Below are 24,097 nucleotides of genomic sequence, written 5' to 3'. Positions count from 1 at the left end.
AGACCAAAGGCTTCACATAGAAAATTTTCACCTAGGTCTTTGCCTACATATTTTATATGTACAAGATACTATATCAGCACAGATAAATAAGTAGTTTTTTCATTGTTGTTGTTCTGGGTAGGAGGGTGAAGCTACACAAGACAAAAGACTTTACATAGAAAAATTTGACCTAGGTCTTGAAAAATTAATAGATGTTGGACAGACAATGCTGATAAATGTGCCTTGCGCAAGCCATACGACTGCAATTTGCTACTATGAGAACAGCCCCGGGGGTTCAAGGCATAAGGATAATATTTTTAAAAGCCTGGTGAGTTCCTCCTAATAAACATCATCGCTTCAGTTGTTGTCATGAGCTAGAATGCAAGATGATGTAGTAGATAATAGCACATGCTTTGAAATAAGATAGACATGGGTTCTGAGCCAGTCCCTGCTACTTACAACTGCATGACCTTATGCCCATTACTTCACTTCTCTGAGCTTCAGTTTACTCATCCCTAAGAGGAAGTAACAACAGTGCCCTCTTCACGAAGCTATTATGAGGATTCAGCACGATAATGTATGTAAAGCTCTAAGTATCTTGTTTGGCGCATAATAAGTGTTTAATAAATGTTAAGTATTGTTATTATTGTTGATGTGGCATTAAGGTTATGCTGGCATAAAACATTAGAATTTGTTCAGTGCATGGAACAATTACATTAAACTTAGAGCAAGCTATATTACTTACTTAACAGTGGAATACCAAAGAAATACAATGAACAACAGGTTTTAAGAGTTCCTATATGGCAGTGGTTGCAGGTATTTATCTTTGTCACCCTAGTAACTTTGAGAACTCTACAGAGTAGGCCTTCAATAAGTGTTGAATAAATGAACGATTTTGCTGATTTTAAAATATTTTTTATACTTGTAAACATGGTAAGTGTTTCTGCAGATAATCTGTAAATAAAAAATACATCTGTAAATTCAACACCAATGTGTTTTCTTCCAAGGTGTGTGTGCATGTGCGTATGTGTGTGTGTGTATAATATATATGGGAAATCATGGCATTTAAATAAATGTATACATGTTTTGTTTTGATCATACCATATGAAAGCTTTTTTCCACTTGCCATATGAGCATTTGCCTTGTTTTATGAAACATACTTTACAAACATGATTTATATGTTGCATTACACTCTATAAGAATATACCATATAATTTATTTAACTATTACCTTATTGTTACACCTTTACTGTGTGTCAAAACTAATTCATCTTCAAATATATGTTATTTGTCACCATATTCAGTGAGTTCTTAATCATTTTTAGGGTAAACAACTTAAAAACCTAATTATTAAAAAAAATACTCTGTATTATCTCCCTCCTAGATGAGAACATTTTATGAAAACACTAAAAATAAATTCAATAAACAAAATGTAATATAGCCTAAAGGTGGCTAAACACAAAAGTGATGTAGTCACAGCATTAGCGCAGGTTTATTGTAATCTCAGGATGTAAGGTTTTAACTTGGCCTTTATGTTATTCTAACCAAGGAGTATCATAATCTTTATTATGAATGTACACTTTGTCTGATATGCAGTTTACAATAATGAGACTAATTCTACATGCCAATTTGCATGGCTTCTAAAGAATTCTAATAGGTTCCAATATAAAGCAAAAAAAATTGTTTTGTATTTTTTGTTTGTCGTTTCCATCTGTTTGCTTCTAAAGATAGAGCAATTTCTGATGTAAAAAGCATGTAGCCATGTCTGCACATTTCTATGTACATGTTTCTGCCTGTGGGGGTTAGAAAAGTTCCGAATTATTATTAAGTTTCAAAGAATTATGAAAAAAATGTTAAAAAACACTTCTAAGAATAATTTTTATTTAAGCCATTTCTTTTTCTCCCTCATAGTTACATCATCCTTCCCAAGGATTCCGCTTTGGAACTGTCCGAGAAAGCAGTGCTGAAGATTATGTGAGACAAAGTTTCCCAGAGATGCATGAATATATGAGAAGGTACAATGTTCCAGCCACCCCTGATGGAGTGGAGTATCTGAAGTGAGTGTCAACCTCTTGGATCCAAAGAAAAATTCTCACTGAAGAGAAGTAATTTAGCTACTGACGCAGTATATGTTAGTTTCTGAAAATGACAGATGAATATACCCACGTTGTGTTAAGTAATACTTTACACTGTGTGAGATCCCAGGAGATGGTGTGAAATAGTGTGTATTTAATTATGTGACCTAGATTACTTGTGACCTGCATAGTCTCAAGTTGGTAGTAGCTTTGTTCAAAGAGTCAGTGGGGCCATTAGCATAGCAGATGGTGGAGGAAGTAAATGTTGGCTTTACATCACTTGAGAATACAATGGTGCTGAAATAGTCAAACACACAGGGAATATGGCCAGAGGATAAAGTGTCCCAAGGCAACGTTTTCCTTCCCAGTGAATATATCTCTAAACCCATGGAATGCCTCCTCTTGCCATGAGGAAATGGAGTTTATCTTAGAGATTTCCTGTAGAAAGGAAATAAGATAGAAGACAATGATTCCCATGCCTGCATTCTTCTCATCAGAATTTATGAGAAGCAATCATGAGAAATCACACTGCCATGGCAGATTATCAGAGCCTGTAATTCAATGAAGTTGAATACAAAGGCAGACAGTGCAGTGATGGGTCTGTTCTGTCTAGTCTTCCTGAGAAAAGGGAAAGAATGGTTCCTGAAAAACAGGAAGACATGAGGGTGAGTAGTCCTCTCCCTCCTGCTCGATGGAATCAAGATAATAACAGACATCCACACCTCCAATTCCTAGAATTGTGCAGCATCAGGAAACTGGTTTCTCCATGGTCAGCATCAATAATCTCCCCAATGGACAGCAGGATCTGCCACCTCAAATTCTTTTTTAAGAAAGAATAGAAATAAATAAATAATTTCATGGAACATAAGGGTTTTGTCTTTCTCAACAACTTTAGAAACATGCCACTTAAAAAATTTTATGGACTTTTAACTATAGCTTAGAGAAAAAGCCTTGTTCTCTCATATTTGCAAAATTATACATGATGTGTAAGTATTATGAAATGCCACTTTTAATTTTGCAAGAACATCAACACATTACAGTCTCTCTCTGACATGAAGTTTAGAGTCCCTTTACCTCCCAGATCTTCTTGTGTATTCTCTTCTTCAGGCGAATTTATGGTTGAGAGAAAGAATAAGATGTCAGGGTAGCAATGGCTTCCAGCTCAATAGAAATAGCAGACAAACTAGGCTCTGCTGACAGTGTGAAAAAGGATGAGATGAGCTACTGCTGCAGTCCCCAGCAGTTCCACTCCACTCAGGGCATTCACGTATCTCAGGAGCTTTACCTGAGAAGGCCCACGTGCCCAGCACTGGCCCTGCCCTAGCCTGAAGGGAAGCAATCTTCAGGAAAGCGGCCACAGATGAAGGCCCAAGACAAGTCAATTTTCCTTGGTAATAAACTAGCAAGTGGCAGAGTCAGGACTAGGACCAGGTCTCTGGAATCCAACTGCTGCTTCAGACTAGTCTGGGAACGATGATGAAAGAGTAGGTCCTTGATGTTTGCAGAATAGTCCATGTTCCAGCAACATCTATGTTGCAGTTAGTATCTGAAAGCTAGTTAGAAATGCAGCAACTCCAGCCTCATCCCAAACTTACTGCATCAGAATCTTCATTTTAACAAGCTCCCCAGGCAATTCACTGATTGAGGTGAAATTGGCATCTAGGCAGAGCTTATCATTAATGCCCTCTCACCACTTCTCTCTGGGCCTTAACTCTCCACTTTCAGCCTAGTCATTTCCTGTGCCCTCAGCCACCACTTCCCGCAACCACAGTCTTCATGTTACCTCCCTGGCATCCCAGAGCTCTGACCTACAAGGCACAACCCCTAGCATTGCCTGTGCAAGGAACTTTTCTACATATTGAACCTGTCCTTTCCCTCTCCCATCAAAATTCTCCTGGACTTAATTCTGCTCTCTCAGGGCCCTGCTTTCTCATTAACAGTTTTCCAAAAAATTAACTCCTACTAAAATGCTTATTCCTTTTATTATGTTAATATGTGACTGGTTTTCTTGTGATGTGTGATATGTATTTTTAAATAATGCTTAAGAAAAGACAGGGCATGATTCTATAATAGAAATAACCATTGGGGGCCCTGTGAACCACAACAGTGATTCAGCCAATCTAGAAGCTACTTGTAACTGGATCCCACTTGGCCATTTCCTCACCAGTGACTCAGGGTCCCAATGGAGTCTGAGAGCTGACTGCTTTTCGCCTTTTCACGTAACTGAAATTTATCATAGCTATCTGCACTTTGCAGTCCAAAATCAAGAGTAGTTATTTAAGGAAGGATCCCAGAGACATTAGGCTTCATGAATTACTGGTTTTAAAAAACTGAAATGAACCTCATCTTTTTTATTGTCATATTGCTACCACAAATATTTGTGGAATATTGGCAAGTGATAACTTGTTGCTACGTAGCTGTCAAGGTACATTATGGTACTGTGGCAGTCGAACTTTGATTGGAGAAACAGCTTTCAGCTCAATTTTTATTTTATTGCCAGGATTCCATTAAGATTCCTTATCAACTTCTAGGAGACAATCCACATCCCCAACACTTTCTAAAGCTTCCCATTACTGTAGAGCTGGGAGATGCTTCATTTTGGTTAAAGTTAAATTTGGGCCTCATTGTAACTTAAATCTGATACCCCTTTGAAAAGGGGATGCATTTTAAATTGGTTATTTCACTTATTTGAAGAGTAGGATAAGAAAGCAACGGTCATTGGTACCAAAAAGGGAAGCTGACCTGCCAACTATGTGTCTATACATGACCCAGACAAAGCCATTCGTGTAAGGATGTGTTTCCTGCCCTGATGAATCTTCTGGGTGTCTAGGGATATCTTTCTCTTTTTGATTTTCTATGAATTCTAGTCATATTCTCCTCTGTTTAGAAGCCACACTGTGTTAAATTAGAACAGCCTCACCACTGGATCTAAGAGAGGAAGGACTGAGCCCAGAAGGGATAGAAAAGAGTTATTCTTTTTGCAAAGCTGTTTGGACAACTCTAAGGGTAGAAAATCCTTTCTTTTTTTTCAAATTAATAAATATTTTTATTTTTAAAAAATAAATACCTACACCTACACAATAAAAAGGAACTGAGGTAGTCATCGCATGAGATAGAAAGAAGTGTAATACAGAGTTCTGGTTCCCAAGAAACTTACACTTTAACTGGGGAGATAATATAGTGCACAAAATGGTTGCTTTTCTGGTCTTCACAGAATCCATTCCCTCTTTTTGGTCACAGCATCCTGCATTTCTTCATCCCTCTTCTACTCTCACTGATTTATATGAGGTGAACCCCACCCCTGGCTCCAGGTGACACCACCTAGCCAATAAGAATGATAGTCCAGACTTTTTAATGATTGCCATTCTAACTGCTGTGAGATGGTATCTCATTGTGGTTTTGATTTGCATTACTAGTCCAACCATTGTGGAAGTCAGTGTGGCCATTCCTCAGGGATCTAGAACTAGAAATACCATTTGACCCAGCCATCCCATTACTGGGTATATACCCAAAGAACTATAAATCATGCTGCTATAAAGACACATGCACATGTATGTTTATTGTGGCACTATTCACAATAGCAAAGACTTGGAACCAACCCAAATGTCCAACAACGATAGACTGGATTAAGAAAATGTGGCACATATACACCATGGAATACTATGCAGCCATAAAAAATGATGAGTTCATGTCCTCTGTAGGGACATGGATGAAATTGGAAATCATCATTCTCAGTAAACTATCGCAAGGACAAAAAACCAAACACCACATCTTCTCACTCATAGGTGGGAACTGAACAATGAGAACACATGGACACAGGAAGGGGAACATCACACTCTGGGGACTGTTGTGGGGTGGGGGGAGGGGGGAAGGATAGCATTAGGAGATATACCTAATGCTAAATGACGAGTTAATGGGTGCAGCACACCAGCATGGCACATGTATACATATGTAACTAACCTGCACATTGTGCACATGTACCCTAAAACTTAAAGTATAATAATAATAAAATAAAAAAATAAAAAAAATTTTTAAAAAAGGAATGATAGTCCATTTCCATGGTAACAATATCCAGGGATGGGCTCAGGACATAGTCACAATAAAAGCAAATTAGACTAAGAGCTTTTCTGAAACTGTTCCTCATAGAAAATCCTTTCTTAAATGGATGTATGTCTTTCACCTTTCCAAAAAGAATTGGAAGTGGCTGAAAACAAAGAAATCGTTGCATGTATTTTAGACAGTTATTTCCTTTTAAAACTTCTCCTTCCTTGCCCTCTTTGTAGGTGGAAGCTCAGCCTATGCTGAGACTCACCCTTCATCTGAACCTAGTCCCAACACTTACTAGCTGTGTAACCTGGTTTAAGTTACTTCAATCCTCTGAGCCTCAATTTCCTCATCTGTTATATCACAGTCATTCTGAGTGATAAAAGGTATAGAGAACAATGAATGCAATGCCTAACAACAAGAAGTCCCTCTAACAGTGTAATAAGAATAAACATTCTCTATGCGCTTCCTATTCAATTCAGAGTGGCTCTGGCTTTACTGATGGATTTAGAAGTAATTAAAGGAGCTGGTAGATAAACTCATTGGAAAGATGTCATGCTGTCTTATAAGAGTGCCTGTCTCCCCTGGTCTGTAGTCTAGACATCAGTGAGAAGCCAAGACAGCTAAGTCAGCACCTAGGTAGCTTGTGCGGCCCTTAGTGTTCGGGTTCTGTCCCCTAAACAAAAGCCGGCTGTCAGCCTTCATGCTTCCTTCCCATTAATGAATCATTTTCACTTTTCTCCTCTGGTCTTAAATATAGGAATGATCCAGAGAAACTAGACGCCTTCATCATGGACAAAGCCCTTCTGGATTATGAAGTGTCAATAGATGCTGACTGCAAACTTCTCACTGTGGGGAAGCCATTTGCCATAGAAGGTATTAATCAGTCACTCTTGATTCACTTTTACTCAGGATGTGCTCAGTTTGCCAACCTAGAAAGTCACAAATGCCAAAGTCAGAAGCAAAGAGCTATTCATCTTCCCTCGTTTTCATTTTCAACTCATAAGCACTTAGCTATTAAGTTGCTGAAGTTAGGAATTTATTTTTCACCTATTCAACAAATATTTACTTATCCAATTTTTAGGGGGAAAAATCATTGTTACCCATATGATGTTGTTTCAGATATCTGGGAGTGGTGGCACAGTGTAATAAATTTTAATTTAATCTGTATTGTGTGTGTGTGTGTGTGTGTGTGTGTTTAGTGGCAGGGTGTTGCTATGTGCTATGTTGCCCAAGCTTGTCTCCAACTCCTGGCCTCAAGTGATCCTCCTGCCTCAGCCTTCCAAAATTCAGGGAAATCTGTATTTTCTAACAGCCAAATACTCTAGCAAATCTGACAGAAAAACTAGAATGATTACATTTTACAACTGGGAGGGCCCCAATATTGATCTAATGCAATCTACTCATTTGATAAACAAGAAAGCCCAGGGACATTACATAACATTTTCATAATTGTACAATTAGATGATAATACTGGGACTGAAATCTAAAGCTCCTGGTTCTTAAATAAGTATTATTCCACTGGTTGGAAAATAAGTAGAAAAAAAAACTCATTCTATAGTTTAATGCCCTTTAAGGTCCCAAACAAAACCTTGGGATCCTTGTTTGGGATCTCAGGTCTTTTTCTCCACTGGCAGCAAATTTTTCCTTCTAATGTGATCTCCCAATCAATCAAACTTCAGAACCAAAGAAAGATTGCTTTGTCGGTAGCTCCTTTCATTCTGAATGACGGTTGATATATGGAGCTGATAGTTTGAACCAGCAAATTTCACTTCTCCCAATTCCCAGCTTCCCTTCCTGATAGTGCATGCTGGCTCTCGAGACAGCCATGCTCACTTGACAGAAAACACTTTGGCTTAAAACAATCCCGTGGGGGTGCCCAACTGCTATTTCCAGAAATCTGAACTTTCCTGTATGTTAACTAGGATATCAAGACTATTCTGATTTCAATTTCCCAACCACAGTTAGTCTCTGTCTCCTCTAAATATATCAGCAGATTAAAATGTTTACCTCTGTCTTTGTTTTCATGATAAATGAGAATGTTACAGCTGATGCTATTTCTCCACATCTTCTCCTAGCAGAAATCAGTCCCCTCTCCAGGCAAAGTCACCCCCACCTGAAGCAGGGATGGAACTCAGAAAGAGAGGCAATTAGCAGTAGTGGTCTTCTATTAAGACTACCGTCTTAGATAGCAAAGGGAGAAAAAGAAAAAGCTAGAAAAATAAACAACATTCAGTATATAATCCCATTTTAATGTAACAATGAAAAATTTCTCCTTTTTTGTGGCATCTGGGGATGTTACATTTTATTTCTGTCCTAGATGCACTGGGTAACTGAGATCCCTTCTGCCATTAGGAGCTACTAACAATGAATCATGGGTAGAGGACACAAGAATGAGGGGCTCCATTTTCCACCTTTATCTTCAGGGGACAACTCTATCTTGTCAAAAGACAGTGGTAGGATGGCTTGTTTGCCTCTGCTGGACCCTAGTGCCAGATGCCACGCAATTAACTCCCCACTGGTTTCCTGTTTACATTTCCATCTGTGTTCCTGAGACTTAGTGTCTTGCAGTTCCCAACATCTCTAGACATCACATTGTTTTCAAAGGAGATGAGCACAAAATGGTGCATGGAAAAGCCCTCCCTGCAAGAGAGTAGAAATACTGCAGGTTTTAATTGAGAGAATATTGTTATCATTGTGAGGTTATTCTCCAAATGGATGGGGTACACATCAGAAAATTAATTCAATTCTACTTCTGACAATAAGTTCATACCCCAAAAACATAACTCAGTAAAATACAAAAGGATACGTATAAATTACACGAAACAATGTGGTAGAAATACTAGTCAAAGTCTTGATTGCTACTTTTCTTAAAAATATGAATTTCACAAATTGTTTTTTTTTTTTTTGAGACTGAGTCTCACTCTATCATCCAGGCTGGAGTGCAGTGGCTCAATCTCAGCTCACTGCAACCTCTGCCTCCCAGGTTCAAGCGATTCTCATGCCTCAGCCTCCCGGGTAGCTGGGATTACAGGTGCCCACCACCACACCCCGCTAATTTTTGTAGTTTTAGTAGAGACAGGATTTCACCATGTTGGCCAGGCTGGTCTCAAACTCCTGGCCTCAAGTGATCCTCCCACCTCGGCCTCCCAAAGTGCTGGGATTACAGGCGTGAGCCACCTACAGTCTAAATAATAAAGCTCACATTTTAATAAGTTCAAGAAACTTAAATGTTATTAGAGGATAGCATATATTTTTAACAATTTAATTGAGAGAAATAATTTCATGAATTTTTGAGAAAATATTTCTCTCAAATTGTTAAAAATATATGCTATCCTTTGACAACATTTAAGTTTCTTGAACTTTTTAAAATGTGAGCTTTATTATTAAGTTAGACTGTATAGGTATAAAAAATCATCAAAGCGGTGTATGAGCAATACTTGGTCATTTAGTTTACAGGAATGTTTTATATGCCTACCCATAACCTTTCACAGGGCCTAGTACAATGCTAGGCATATAACATTAATGTAATAAGTGATGTATTACCTATTAAATAACTAATTAGGTTTGAAATAGGTACCTAATTCACTCACTTAGGTAGTTAATAGCTTGTACTTATACTTTCCCAAATGTTTAAATGTACTTAGGAGAGAAAACAGAGTGCAATGATTCCTTCATGCTGAATGTACTGTCACTGCATATAGTAGTAACACACTCAGTACTCTATGTGTGACACTCAGTGTAACTACTGCTGTGGTCTGAATGTTTGTGCCTCCCCCCAGATTCATATGTTGAAACCTAATCCCCAGGGTGATGGTATTAGGTCATGAAGTTTCCACCCTAATAAAATGGAATTAGTGCCCCTACGAAATAGGCTCAACGAAGCTCATTCACCCTTTTCAGCATGTGAGGACCTAGCTACATGGCACCATCTATGAACCAGAAAGCAGGCCCTCACCAGGCACCAAATCTACCATTGCCCTGATCTTGGACTTCCCAGCCTCCAGACCTATAAGAAACCAATTTCTTTTGTTTTTAAGTCTCCCAGTCTATGATATTTTGTTATAGAAGCCTGAGCAGACTAAGATAACTATTAACTATCCCTCCAAACTTCACCATTCTGCATTTATTTTGACTTAAAAGGGAAAAATAAGGCAAATAAGGGACAGTGGCTCCACACTGAGTTTGAAACCCTTTCATGAGTACTCATCGGTACGCAGTATATAGCAAAGCAAACCAAAACTATTAAGGATGCGAAAGCATGTGGAAAGTCTTTGGTCGAATTAAAAACCATAAACCAGGGGCACAAATACATATTGTGTGCAGGGGAGAAAAAAAAGTGTTGAGATAAATGAATACGTGTCTCCAATTTGTGCATTGGAGTTAGCTGACAATAAAGCTCAAACAAGGAGAAAGAGTAACGTAACTGCACAATAATGATGTGTGATCTTTCTGCCAAAGACCTTTGCCTGTTTATGAGTTTGTTCTTTTACTTGCTTTCCAATAATTATTTAATGCAATGCTTGGAACACTGGCTCTGGAGTCTGAGTACTTGGGTTAGGATAAAATTGCTGTTATTAACTGGCAAGTTATCTAATCTACTCTTCAGGTTCCTCACCTGCATAATGGGGAGATGAATAGGAAATTTATGATAGAATTGTTGTGAGGATTAAGTAATACATATAAAGCATGTACTGTAGGAACTTGTTTGGCACATAAGAAGTGCTCAACAAATTATTATTATATAGTATATTGATTAATGCATTGAGACCAATTAACTGTAAAATTCTTCCAGGATAGTCTTCCTAAGTCTCAACTTCTCCCACACATTTCTCTCCCCACTTTGATATGCTGAGGCTAAGGGAAACCCATTTTATAGTACCTTTATAGTTGGGACCATTACAATATGTTCTCAACCATTATCCCAGAGTAGCTAAATATGGTATTCCAAGGACAGACTGCAAAATTGAATAAATCTTTCACCCTGAAGCCTTTTTAACCCTATCTGAGATGCTATTTTCAAAACATCTCTTTTCCAACCACATTTCGGAAGATTCTTTTAGTCTATGAATTTCTAACTATACATTTGCTAGCTAAAATATATTTCCACCACTCTTAGCTTAATAAAGCTGATTTATCCATGGTGAAAAGATCAGGATTCTATTCTGAAAACTGTTCTCTTGGGCCATTAAGCTGTATCCAATTTCCAGGATGCCTGATGCCTTCATCTTTAGAGTTGAAGGATTCCATTTTGCTTCATTCATCAACCACAAAATAGTCAACCCTGTCTTTATTGCAAAGCCACATTTCTAGTAATAATGAAAGCAACTCAGGCTGCTCAGTTGAGTCAGCAATTTAAAAATGAGAATTCTTTGACCAATGAACACTAGCAAATTTGAAAAGCAACTATAAATGGGGACAGAAATAAAACCCTCAAGGTTTTATTTTATGTTTTTGAATAAAATGGATTTTTATCTCTTTTAACAAATAAGTCTTCTCATCATCACATAATTTATTTTCCTATTTTTCCCATCATTCCATATGCATAGTTTGTTTTCATTAGCTAAAAATGATTATTATTGCTAGAAATCATTAAAATATCAATATAAAAGTGTTCCTATTTCTCCACATCCTCTCCAGCACCTGTTGTTTCCTGACTTTTTAATGATTGCCATTCTAACTGGTGTGAGATGGTATGTCATTGTGGTTTTGATTTGCATTTCTCTGATGGCCAGTGATGGTGAGCATTTTTTCATGTGTTTTTTGGCTGCATAAATGTCTTCTTTTCAGAAGTGTCTGTTCATGTCCTTTGCCCACTTTTTGATGGGGTTGTTTGTTTTTTTCTTGTAAATTTGTTTGAGTTCATTGTAGATGCTGGATATTAGCCCTTTGTCAGATGAGTAGGTTGCAAAAATTTTCTCCCATTTTGTAGGTTGCCTGTTCACTCTGTCACTCTGATGGTAGTTTCTTTTGCTGTACAGAAGCTCTTTAGTTTAATTAGATCCCATTTGTCAATTTTGTCTTTTGTTGCCATTGCTTTTGGTGTTTTAGACATGAAGTCCTTGCCCATGCCTATGTCCTGAATGGTATTGCCTAGGTTTTCTTCTAGGGTTTTTATGGTTTTAGGTCTAATGTTTAAGTCTTTAATCCATCTTGAATTGATTTAAATGTGGCACATATACACCATGGAATACTATGCAGCCATAAAAAATGATGAGTTCATGTCCTTTGTAGGGACATGGATGAAATTGGAAATCATCATTCTCAGTAAACTATTGCAAGAACAAAAAACCAAACACCGCATATTCTCACTCATAGGTGGGAATTGAACAATGAGATCACATGGACACAGGAAGGGGAACATCACACTCTGGGGACTGTTGTGGGGTTGGGGGAGGGGGGAGGGATAACATTGGGAGATATACCTAATGCTAGATGACGAGTAGTGGGTGCAGCGCACCAGCGTGGCACATGTCTACATATGTAACTAACCTGCACAATGTGCACATGTACCCTAAAACTTTAAGTATAATAATAAAAGAAAAACACACACACACACACAAAATAAATAAATAAAATAAAATAAAATAAAATATCAATATTCAATACATGTATTTAAACAGAAATTTTAAAGGGATAGTAATCTGTTTTTAGCAACTGCAAATTAACCTAGACATGATCGAGTGGAGTGATTTAATATTTATTATTTCTTGTGTAACATTTTTTATAAATGTCTCTGAAACTTCAACATAGCTTTTTCATTAGGGAATCTTAACACTTTTGTTGTAGTGCCAAAATTCTATTCTTAGAATATGTAGATTTATCATAAGTATGAAGTTAAGAATTTAAAACTTTCTTATCATATACTTTTGTCTTATCTACCAAAAATATCACAATCAAGAACCAATTCAAGATGCCATCTTTCATCCTCTCCTCTGGTACCAATCTCTTGTTCCTTTGAATTTTCTTTTTTTTTTTTTTTTTTTTTAGACGGAGTCTCGCTCTGTCGCCCATGCCGGACTGCGGACTGCAGTGGCGCAATCTCGGCTCACTGCAAGCTCCGCTTCCCGGGTTCACGCCATTCTCCTGCCTCAGCCTCCCGAGTAGCTGCGACTACAGGCGCCCGCCACCACGCCCGGCTAATTTTTTGTATTTTTAGTAGAGACGGGGTTTCACCGTGTTAGTCAGGATGGTCTCCATCTCCTGATCTCGTGATCCGGCCACCTTGGCCTCCCAAAGTGCCGAGATTACTGGCGTGAGCCACTGCGCCCGGCCCTTTTGTTCCTTTTTTTTTTTTTTTTTTTTATACTTTAAGTTTTAGGGTACATGTGCACATTGTGCAGGTTAGTTTCATATGTATACATGTGCCGTGCTGGTGCACTGCACCCACTAACTCGTCATCTAGCATTAGGTATATCTCCCAATGCTATCCCTCCCCCCTCCCCCCACCCCACCACAGTCCCCAGAGTGTGATATTCCCCTTCCTGTGTCCATGTGATCTCATTGTTCAACTCCCACCTATAAGTGAGAATACCTTTTTTAATGCAGATACACAATCTTTTTCTTTAAAAGAAAAAGGCTTGAGATGTGTGTATAACCAATAAAAGAGATGAAATAACGCATAAAAAACTGAGTTTTAATGGATTGTATTTTTTTCTAATAACATTATTTGTTGCTTAACAATAGGAAGTCAAGAAAATGATGACAACGTCAAAAGCATGATTAGAATTTTCCATTCAAAGAGCTATTTTGAGTGCCTGTTTTATGCCTAGAAGTTTTGGTTTGAAAGGCAGGACTGAAAACAAAAGAGTTTGGATGGGTAGCTTTTGATTCTGCTGATGTTATTATTAAATAACATTTTAAAATATAATGGGTAATTTATTAGAAGGAAGTAATCAGCTTTCTTTAGAAACATAATGAATGCTGTTGCCAATTCAACTGCACAAACACTTATTCAGGACTTATTTGCACATCATGCACAATACTAGGCACAAGCGTATAATAGTCACTGATTCACTGACTCACTCACACATTCATTTATTCATTCACTCACTCATTCATGCAACAAATATTCCCTGAGTAAATAGGCACCATGTTAAGTGGTCAGGACTTAGCAGTGACCAAGGTGGATATGGTCTCTGCTGTAATGGAATGTATACTCTACAGGGGAAACAGATATTAAACAAGACACAGCATAATTATTATTTCATTACAACTGAGATAGGCACCATAAGGGAGAACTGGGCCATATAAGAACAAAGTGTAGGAGGACTTGCTACTATCTGGTAGGAGTGGGTTGATGGTTAGGATAATTAGCCAGGTTTGCCGAATATCAATGTGTTTTTCCTCCCTGGGTCAATAGTTTTCAACAACAGCAACAGATTGTGGCACACAGCTTGGTTAAATCATCCTTGGATTCTAATAATAAGTACTAGGACATACTGGGCTCTACTGTGCCCCAAGCACTATTCTGCATGAATCCCTACATGAAACCACGCCAGAATGTGTATCACTTGGAGACTTAAAGATTGAATAAATAGGCCGGGCGCAGTGGTTCATGCCTGTAATCCCAGCAATTTGGGAGGCCGAGGCAGGTGGATCACGAGGTCAGGAAATCGAGACCATCTGGCTAACACGGTGAAACCCCATCTCTACTAAAAATACAAAAAATTAGCTGGGTGTGGTGGCGGGCGCCTGTAGTCCCAGCCACTCAAGAGGCTGAGGCGGGAGAATGGCGTGAACCCAGGAGGCGGAGCTTGCAGTGAGCCGAGATCGAGACTCTGTCTCAAAAAAAAAAAAAAAAAAAAGGAACAAAAATCAGTGCTCTTGAAATTGAATTGTAAGCTAGAATAATTATAGGAGGTATTTGTTTCCATTAAGTATCTTTGGATGCTTGACAATCTTTTAGTCTTTATCCATGAAAAATGAACTATATTTTTAATCACTCTTCCTCAATCATGTTGAAGGCAAAAAAAAAAAGGGTTTGGGTTTTTTTTTTTACTATTCTGTCCAATAGCTAAAACAAAATGTAGCTAATTAGCTTCTTTGACATGGCTGAGCAAAGAGATTAACAGTATAGTAACATTTTGGAAAGCAAGTAAAGCCACACAGTGTGAGGATACAGAGTCTAAGCTGACTAATAAAACTCTGACAACAAATTAACTCCATTTTTATGTTCCTCCCTCATTCCTTCCCCTGCCTCCCTTGCCCTGCATTACCACCACCCTTTCATTTATTTTATCCTTGGTTTTGTTAAAAATAATAAGTATTATCACAGGCTGGGCACGTGGCTCATACCTGTAATCCCATCACTTTGAGAGGCTGAGGTGAGTGGACTGGTTGACTCCAGGAGTTCAAGACCAGCCTGGGCAACACGGTGAGACCCTATCTCAACAAAAAATACAAAAATTAGCCAGGGTGGTGGTGTGTGCCTGTGGTTCCAGCTACTTGGGGGGCTGAGCCGGGAGGATCACTTGAGCCCAGGAGGTCAAGGTTGCAGTGAGCCATGATGGCACCATGGCACTCCAGCCTGGGCAACAGAGCAAGACCCTGTCTCCAAAAAAAAAAAAAAAAAAAAAAAAAAAGTATCACATATATATGCATATATATGTATTCCTAAAACTATATTGTTTGGTTTTGAATGTTTTAATATTTACACAATGAATTCATGCTGCAAGTAATCTTCTGACACTGACCTTTTTCATTCAATGGCATATTACTAAGGATCATCCATATTGTTGCCTCTAGTTCTAGTTCATATAGTTTTGATTATGTAATATTCCATCTGTGCAAATAGTCCACAGTTTCATTACTCATTCTCTTGTCAAAGAACATTTGGGTTGTTTCCAATTTTTGCTATTATGAACAGTTCCTCTAAGAACATTTTTGTACGTATCTCCTGATATGCTTGTGGCGGAGATCTTTGGGAATGGACTCAGGAACAGAATTGCTGGTCTTAAAATATGTCAATATTCAACCATATAAAATAATACCAAACTGCTTTCCAAAATGTTTGTATCAATTTTCAGTTTATATTACAGCAAGCAATATATAAATAATCTTATTGATCCTCATCTTCTTTAACACTTAGTATTACTTCTTATTTATTTATTTTTGGACAATTTAAGTTGATTTTTATAAGTTCCTGTTTATATTTTAGTTCTCATACTGTATTGTTTATTCACATGGTTTTATTATATTATTCAAAAATTAAAAATAAATTTAAAAAGTAAGAGAGGGTCATGCATTAACACCGATAAGAGAATGTCATCAACCACAGACTAAGATTAATCTGATTTTGTATATTTAAGGTTCAGAAGAGGGGTTCTGGAAGAGGTAGATAGGAAATCCTAGCCCTGATAAAGACCTCAAAGATTGCCTCTAAGGAATGTCTTAATGGGAAAGGCAGAAGATCTTAAAATTTTTCACTAATGCACTGTGCACAGCCCATTCCTCTCCTTTTCCAACTCAATTCATCTACTCAGAGATGCAGCTGATTTAAGGGTAATCATGACTAGGAATGTCTTTGAGTGCTTTGAAAGAAAGTTGATGAAAACTCATCACGCCCTTTTTTTGGTCTGATGGCAGTATCACACAAATATGTACTGTGGTGGCAATCTCTCAGGAAGGGTGTAAAAAACTCATCTGAGATTGTATTTTCTTCTAGGATACGGCATTGGCCTCCCACCCAACTCTCCATTGACCGCCAACATATCCGAGCTAATCAGTCAATACAAGTCACATGGGTTTATGGATATGCTCCATGACAAGTGGTACAGGGTGGTTCCCTGTGGCAAGAGAAGTTTTGCTGTCACGGAGGTATGGAAAGACTGTTGAAAATGGTGACACGTTGTATAGCTGTACCTCAGAGAACATAAGGAAATGCTATTACTTGTGCCTCATCATCTAGGTTATTGCATTTACTAGACTCTTGCATAATATTTGGATTATTTTTTACTTTGTCCAAAAAGCGTCCATTCCTATAGGAATTTACAGGGATGTGGGTTTGTCTTAGATTTAAATGTGATGCTATTTTGATGAGTAAATATCTAAATTTCTACTTTTCCCCATAACCTCTATCCACAAGTGCAGAAGAAATGCTGTTCTGAATTACAGCAATAGTATCTGAGATTGACATGAACAGTGTTTGATTTAATCGTTAATTGATGGACATGATGTGTACTTCAAAATATCCTGCAAAATCTAATCAAAACATTGCTAACTTACCAGTGGTTACCACCTAAAGATAAAGCCTTTGTGGATGTAGAAAAATAGACATACCTTAGCGAGTACTTCTTAGATTACAGAGTCATGGATTTTTGAAACTGAAAACAATCAATTCCCTTCTTTTATAGTTAGGAAAAGAATACCCAGAGATAATCAGTGGTTTCCCTAAGGCACACAAATAATCAGAATCTCTTTCTATTGCAGTACACTGACTTTACAATGTAATTAGAAAGAAACCTATAAAATAAGGCAGAAATTGGATGATTAAAATTGGAGACTGGAAGGTATAACCAGAGTCACAGGCTCAGATATTTAAAAGAGGAGCCAAATATACCTGAACAAGGTCAGCCTGACAATTTAAAAAAAAAACAAACCCACCTAAAGTGAATAATAATGGTTTCAAGTAGTCTCTATTTGCCAAGAACTCCCAAAGTTGTATTTCAACACAGACCCTTCTTCTGAGCTCCAGGCCATGTATCCACCTTCCTATTTGACATCTCCACTTGAATATTCTCCAGGCATCTGAAATTTAAGTTGTCAAAAGCTGAACCTTGATCTTCCCTCCTAAATCTATTTTTCCTCCTGTGCCTCACATCTTGGTAATGGCTCCTCTGGCCATCTAGTTACTCATTCTGGAAACTGGCAAGGATCCTTAATGCCTCCCACATCTCATCTTCCACATTCATCAACAAGCCATGTCTTTTCCTTCTATAAAATATGCCTCGAATATGCCCATTTATTGTCATCTCCACTGTTGTCACTCGAGTCCAAGCCATCATTCTTCACCTGGACCACTATAAAAGTCTCCTAACTAGTTCTCTGCTATCACTCCTGCCTCCTCAAATTTGTTTTCCATGTGGCAGATCATTCTTCTGCTTAGAAGCCTGCAGTGGCCTCCCATGTTAATGGGACAAAAATCTGAAACATTGGCATAGCCCACAATGCCCTGTGGGACCTGGCCCTGCCCACCTCCCAGCCTCATCCCAGCCACTTTCCTCTTGGCTTCCCTGCACAGGCTGTTGCCTCCTCTTCCTCAAATACTCCATCCTCTGACACTTGCTCAGCTGAATCCTTTATATTATAAACTTCCAGCTGAGATCTCCCTTCTTCAGACTCTGATAATCCCAGACCAATATGAATCATATCTCCCTTCATAATCTCATATATCTCACATTATGTCATAGCACTTGTCATAATTTATAAATCATACTATTTCTAAACATATACTCAATTGAGTTTTTGTTTTAGTGTGTCCCTTCATTAAACTGTGAGAGCTTGGTGAGGGACAAAGATTTTGTTTACAATTGTATTGTCAATGTCTCATATATAGCAGCACTCAGTAAGTGATTGTGGAATAAACAATTAGAGAAATTGAACAGCATACCTGAGAAAACATTGGGGAGCAGAAGGCAAAAGCATACATCGGGTGTGAAATTGGTAGTGTACTGGGACAAATAGCGTACCCCCAAAATTAATGTCTACCTAGAACTTCAGAATGTGACCTTATTTGGAAATAGGGTCTTTGAAAATGTAGTTAGTGAAGTTAAAAGGAGGCCATACTGTAGTCAAGTGGGCCCTAAATTCAATTATGGGTATCCTTATAAGGAGACCCTGTGGAGAGACATACAGGGAAAAAGTCCACGTGACAACAAAGGCAAAGACTGGAGCATGCAGCTACAAGCCAAGGAAATGCTAAAGATTGCCAGCAATCCTCAGAAGCTAGGAGAGAAGCATAAAACAGGTTGTCCCTCAGAGCCTCCAGAGGAACTAACCCTGCTGACACCTTGATTTCAGACTTTTGGCCTCCTAAGCTGTGAGGTAGTACATTTCTGGTTTTTTTGTTTGGTTGGTTGGTTTTTTTTTTTTTTTTGAGACAGACTCTCACACTGTAACCCAGGCTGGAGTGCAGTGGCATGATCTAGGCTCACTGCAAGCTCCACCTCCCAGGTTCACACCATTCTCCTGCCTCAGCCTCCCGAGTAGCTGGGACTACAGGTGCCCACTACCACACGTGGCTAATTTTTTGTGTTTTTAGTGGAGACAGGGTTTAACCATGTTAGCCAGGATGGTCTTGATCTCCTGAGTTCATGATCTGCCCGCCTCGGCCTCCCAAAGTGCTGGGATTACAGGCATGAGCCACCGCGCCTGGCTAAATTTCTGTTGTTTTAAGCCAGCCTCTTCCTCAAATACTCCATCCTCTGACACTTGCTCAGCTGAATCCTTTATATTATAAACTCCCAACTGAAATCTGTTTTTTACATTTGTTACATCAGCCCTAGGGAACTAATACAGATAGATGATAGACATCTAGATGATAAGGATAAAAATGTAGATAGATAGATGATAGATAGATAGATAGATAGATAGATAGATAGATAGATAGATAGATAGATGGATGCAAGCTGGTCAATGCCCTTGGTAATTAAATTTACTTCTGATTATCCTGGAAGCCATGACAAAAAGAAACATAGGATGGGTTGGAAATTTTTTTAATTGGAAAAAGAAGAAGTTAACCTATATTTAGTTCTAGATTCTAAAATAATTCTTTTTGAAAAATGGCATTGAGTAAGAGAGTTAGCAATGTTTACAAGATGCAAAAACATTTCTCCTCTGGATAACTTTTATATTGATCAAACATTTGAAGGAAGCATAGAGGAAAATGGGGACTTAGGGAGCTAGCATGTCTGTTTCCTACCATGTAATAGAAACTGTACCCAGAGCGTAGTTCTCACTATGACCCTGTAAGGTAGACATTTTTATCTTTATTTAGAGAGATTTGCGTGTCTTTTCCTAAAAGAAATGAACTTGGGCCTATACCAGTCAATTGAGTTAATTCAACCAAGGAAGGAAACAAACCAGTTGCCTAACCTGTGCCAAATAACAATCACTTGGTGTTTTCTATCATTTGTTGTGACCATAGCTGACTCAAGTCAACATCTTCAAGTGATTCAGAATTGACAGCAAGACAAGGCTGGGTGCAGTGGCTCATGCCTGTAATTCCAGTGCTTTGGGAGGCCAAGGCAGGCAGATCATTTGAGCCCAGGAGTTCAAGACCAGACTGGGAAATGCAGTGTGACTCTATCTTTACAAAAAAGATTTTTAATTTAAAAAATTTGAGAGCAAATCATTAAGAGAAAAGGAGCCTCCCAATCCTGTCCCCAAAGCCAGCATTACTGAATGATTTTAACCTCCCTTATCACATACAAGCCTCTAGGCTATTGTCATTTCAGAGGATCATCTGACCAAGACTTCAGCTGAAGGGACCATATGATTCCTAGGTGGAGGAGGACCTAAGGACAGACAGCTCTGCGGACTCAGAACCTAACTCTACCTGGACACACAGAAGCGAACACACTATTGGAGACTTACCAACACAATTATTAACATAAACCTATGTCAAATTTATTCCAAAGTAAAAGTAACTAACCTAAAACAAGATACATTTGAAGCCATACATTTCTGGATTTGAATCCTGTCTCTACTATTAACAGCTGAATTACTTAACTGCTCTTACGTCTGAGTCTCCTCATCTATGAATGGGTATGATAAAACCTGCCATCCCATTTTGTTCTAAGAATAAGAGGTCATTTATGGAAGCACAGCATGGTGAATAGTAAATAATAGAAGTACTAATTCTTCCTCTGCCTACATTAGGATATCTTCAGGTGTCTTTCTATGGCTCTTTTCAAAGTAAAGAAATATTACCAGAAACCCTCCATTAGATTTCCTCATATTTCATTGGCCAAAATTATATCTTCTGCCTATGTCTAAGCCTATCATTGGTGAGGGAATGGGTTCACCATGATGGATTAGGCCAATCATGATTCATTCCCCAGCATTGGCAATTGCACAGCCTCCCTTGAAACACAGGGTCAAATCACGAAGCGTGAAGGCCTAAACAAAAGCAGGGTTCCCTTAGGAAGGGGGAGACAGAAGAATACATGTTGAATAAGAATCCAACCACTTCTACTCTCACTCTGCAGACTTTGAAAGCTGCTTCTTCTCTCATCCCACCTACCACTAGCCATCTGCACAATGAGGTATTTTGATTTAATCGTCTGCAAAGCAAGTCCTCCCAGCTTTGATACAGTGATTCTGGCTTCCCTTAATATTATCCTAAAATATGAATATTCAGTATTCTATACAATATAGTATGATGGCTAGAAACATGGACTTTGAAGACAGTTCTATATTTGAATCCCAGCTCTACCAGCTGTGATACCAGGACATATTATTTGAGCATTTTGAGGCTCAGCTTCTACAAACTGGGGAGATAGTCATATATACTTTATAGGATTGTGGTAAAAATGAAGTTCGATAGTGCTTTTCAAATATTGAGCATATTCCTACATATGATAACCACACAGTTACCCATGTTCTTAAGGATTATGAAGTTTCACCATATATGTTACAGGGCTATATGGATTTATCAGCAATTTCAAACAAAATCAAGTATAGACCAAAAAAAAAGATGTTTTGAAAAACAAGTGAAAGCCATAAACTGTTGAGATGATGCATCTAAAATACAGCAAAATTTTTTCCATTGCAGTTTTTAACAGGCCAAATTCAGGGGAACGGCAGTTGGGAAATTCTAGATGTAGTCAGCTGGAAGCATTGAATAAAAGGCTAATATCAGGATCAAGTTGTGCTTGTCCAGGCAATGTTGGGCCCACATTCCAGGTCAGCTAAATTTGAAAGAGAACTAGGAATGAGAAGAAGGGAGGAAAGTTGTGTCCTTACTGGAACTCCAGGGACAGAAATAACAGAGTTCTGGTAACATCAGTGTGTGTAGAGATAGGAGGGCCACACACACACAGAGCTCTTCTTTCTCAGGGATGGTGGTCGGCTGTATGGTGTATCCTGGTCTATGGAACAGGAAACTATTTTGTAATGATGCTTACCTGGGTACATTTAAACAGCAATGCATATTCTTGTGTGACATTTTTGTTTTGAACAACCTAAGACAGAATTTCAGGATTGTCCTCACAGAACCTAAAGATAGAACGTAATTAAATGAAACCAATCTTCAGTTCATTGACTGAGCTTGGTCTTCTCTGCGCAAACAGCCTCTGCCTGCTGGATTTCCCATTGCTCAATACACTAAGTCTCAAACGGCTATTTTTTTCTTAACTTTCTCCCAGAAAAGGTCAGAAGGAGAAAGCGTAATTATTAATGCTTCGCTTGCCATCCCTTTTGCTTCAAATGTCATACACTGCCGGGCTCTGTTAGTGTGGGGAACCAGGATTAGCTTTGAAATCAGACAAGCCATCCTTGAAGCCTACTTCAACCACCAACTTACTTTTGGCGAGTGCCTTAATCCAGCTCAGCTTTAGCTTCTTCATCTCATCAGTGGCTCTTGTGTGAAGTAAATAAAATGATGGTCTCATACACACGGCCCTCCTCCTTCTCCCTGCTCACGGGGTGGAGTGCAAGGCACAGTGTGGAAGAACCGGGTATATACTCCGGATGGTTCCCCTCCCAACAGGTGCCCCTGACACCTGAGGATTCCATTTTTCGGTTTACTTTTTACCTTACATACCATTTTGCTAGTTACAGTTCCTGTGTAAGTCTGTTGCTATAGAGCAATTAAACACTCTCTTTCACTCTGAAAAAAATTCTAGTTTAGACAACAAATTATATGGTGACCTAGTAATAGAATTACTAGGTGCCTTTTTCCCCCATTTCTAGCAGTTGGACATTAATACTTGGCCCAATGTGAGAACCTTGACCTATTCACCTTCCATCTCTTTGTAGCCCCAGAGCTATCTAGCCACAGTTTCTCTGGAAGATAAACTCACTTTTTTTTTTTTCCTGAATTCCAGGGCTTTATCTGCTCTCCAGAGTCACTTAGGAAATTGCAGGTCCAATTCTGCCGACCAGACTCTGGCAATTTTCAAAGAGGAATTTTAAATTGACCTCAGATGTTTCCCCACATTCCTCCCTGCACACCTGTGCCTCTGCCCACAGTGAACTCATTGTCAATCAGTGCCATTAGGGAAACAGGGTATAAATTTCCTTTGTTTTCTTTTGACTCAGCAAAAAAAAAAAAAAAAAAAAAAAATGTAATTTTTTTCAACTCCCCAAGTGAATTTAAGAGCTCCAGAGCAAGAGTTTTGTGACATCGGTTATTTGCAAACCAGGAAAGCAAGGCAGCCGACCACAGTTTAGCAACCTCTAAAATTCTTCAAGGGATTACTAAAATATCCAGATGATAACTTCTTTCTTTTTGCAAGCCTCCTTTAAATGATAGTTTGAATAATGCACTTTTTACCAAATGGAACTAGTCAGGAAGAAAGAGGAAACAGTGGTCTTGGTGGGGAGCAGATAGAACACTCCAATGATCAAAGGAGAATTTTAAAGAAACTGTTTGCAAAAGTATGATTTAAGGAAACCAGTTAAGATACTACAGTCTCCCAGGGCAGGTGAAGTGAGGGAGCCATTACCACATCTAGGTTCAAAGGGAAGAATTAAGAGACCTATTTTTAGAACCCAGGGAGAAATAGGAGAGGGCTTTCTAAGAGCCTTGGCCATTTGACCAGGGGTACAGCCATCCGACAGTGACCTGCCTGGAAGACACCCAGGGAATAAATACCTGAGTTTGGTCTCCTCCTACCCTTGCATCTTCTACCTCAGGTCCAGGGAGCCTGTCGATATGGTGCAGAGAGGTCCGCTTCCCAGGGCACAAAGCAGGAGGAAGAAAGATGGAGAGTCGATCTGGAAGGGCAGAAGAATGTCCAGCACTGTCCCTCATGGCAGATGAATGTGGGATGGGGT

The 24,097-nt window shown here is 38.7% G+C and overlaps 1 protein-coding gene across 2 annotated transcripts in view; it reads left to right on the top strand.

The window, feature by feature from the left end:
* Window positions 1-24,097, top strand: part of GRIN3A (glutamate ionotropic receptor NMDA type subunit 3A) — a 169,296-nt gene that overhangs the window by 108,357 nt on the left and 36,842 nt on the right. Inside the window, exons 4-7 of one of the 2 annotated variants that reach the window (XM_011518211.3) lie at window positions 1,890-2,035; window positions 6,858-6,973; window positions 16,764-16,915; window positions 20,554-20,761. In XM_011518211.3, the coding sequence (XP_011516513.1) occupies window positions 1,890-2,035; window positions 6,858-6,973; window positions 16,764-16,915; window positions 20,554-20,565 (426 nt within the window). In that variant the 3' untranslated portion in view covers window positions 20,566-20,761. Of the gene's footprint in view, window positions 1-1,889; window positions 2,036-6,857; window positions 6,974-16,763; window positions 16,916-20,553; window positions 20,762-24,097 lie in introns of those variants that run through there. The other variant, NM_133445.3, reaches the window with a different exon arrangement.

Source organism: Homo sapiens, chromosome 9, assembly GCF_000001405.40.
Source record: "Homo sapiens chromosome 9, GRCh38.p14 Primary Assembly".
NCBI lineage: Eukaryota > Metazoa > Chordata > Mammalia > Primates > Hominidae > Homo > Homo sapiens.
Note: the sequence above shows the minus strand (reverse complement) of the source record. Positions and strands in the feature narration are given on the sequence as shown.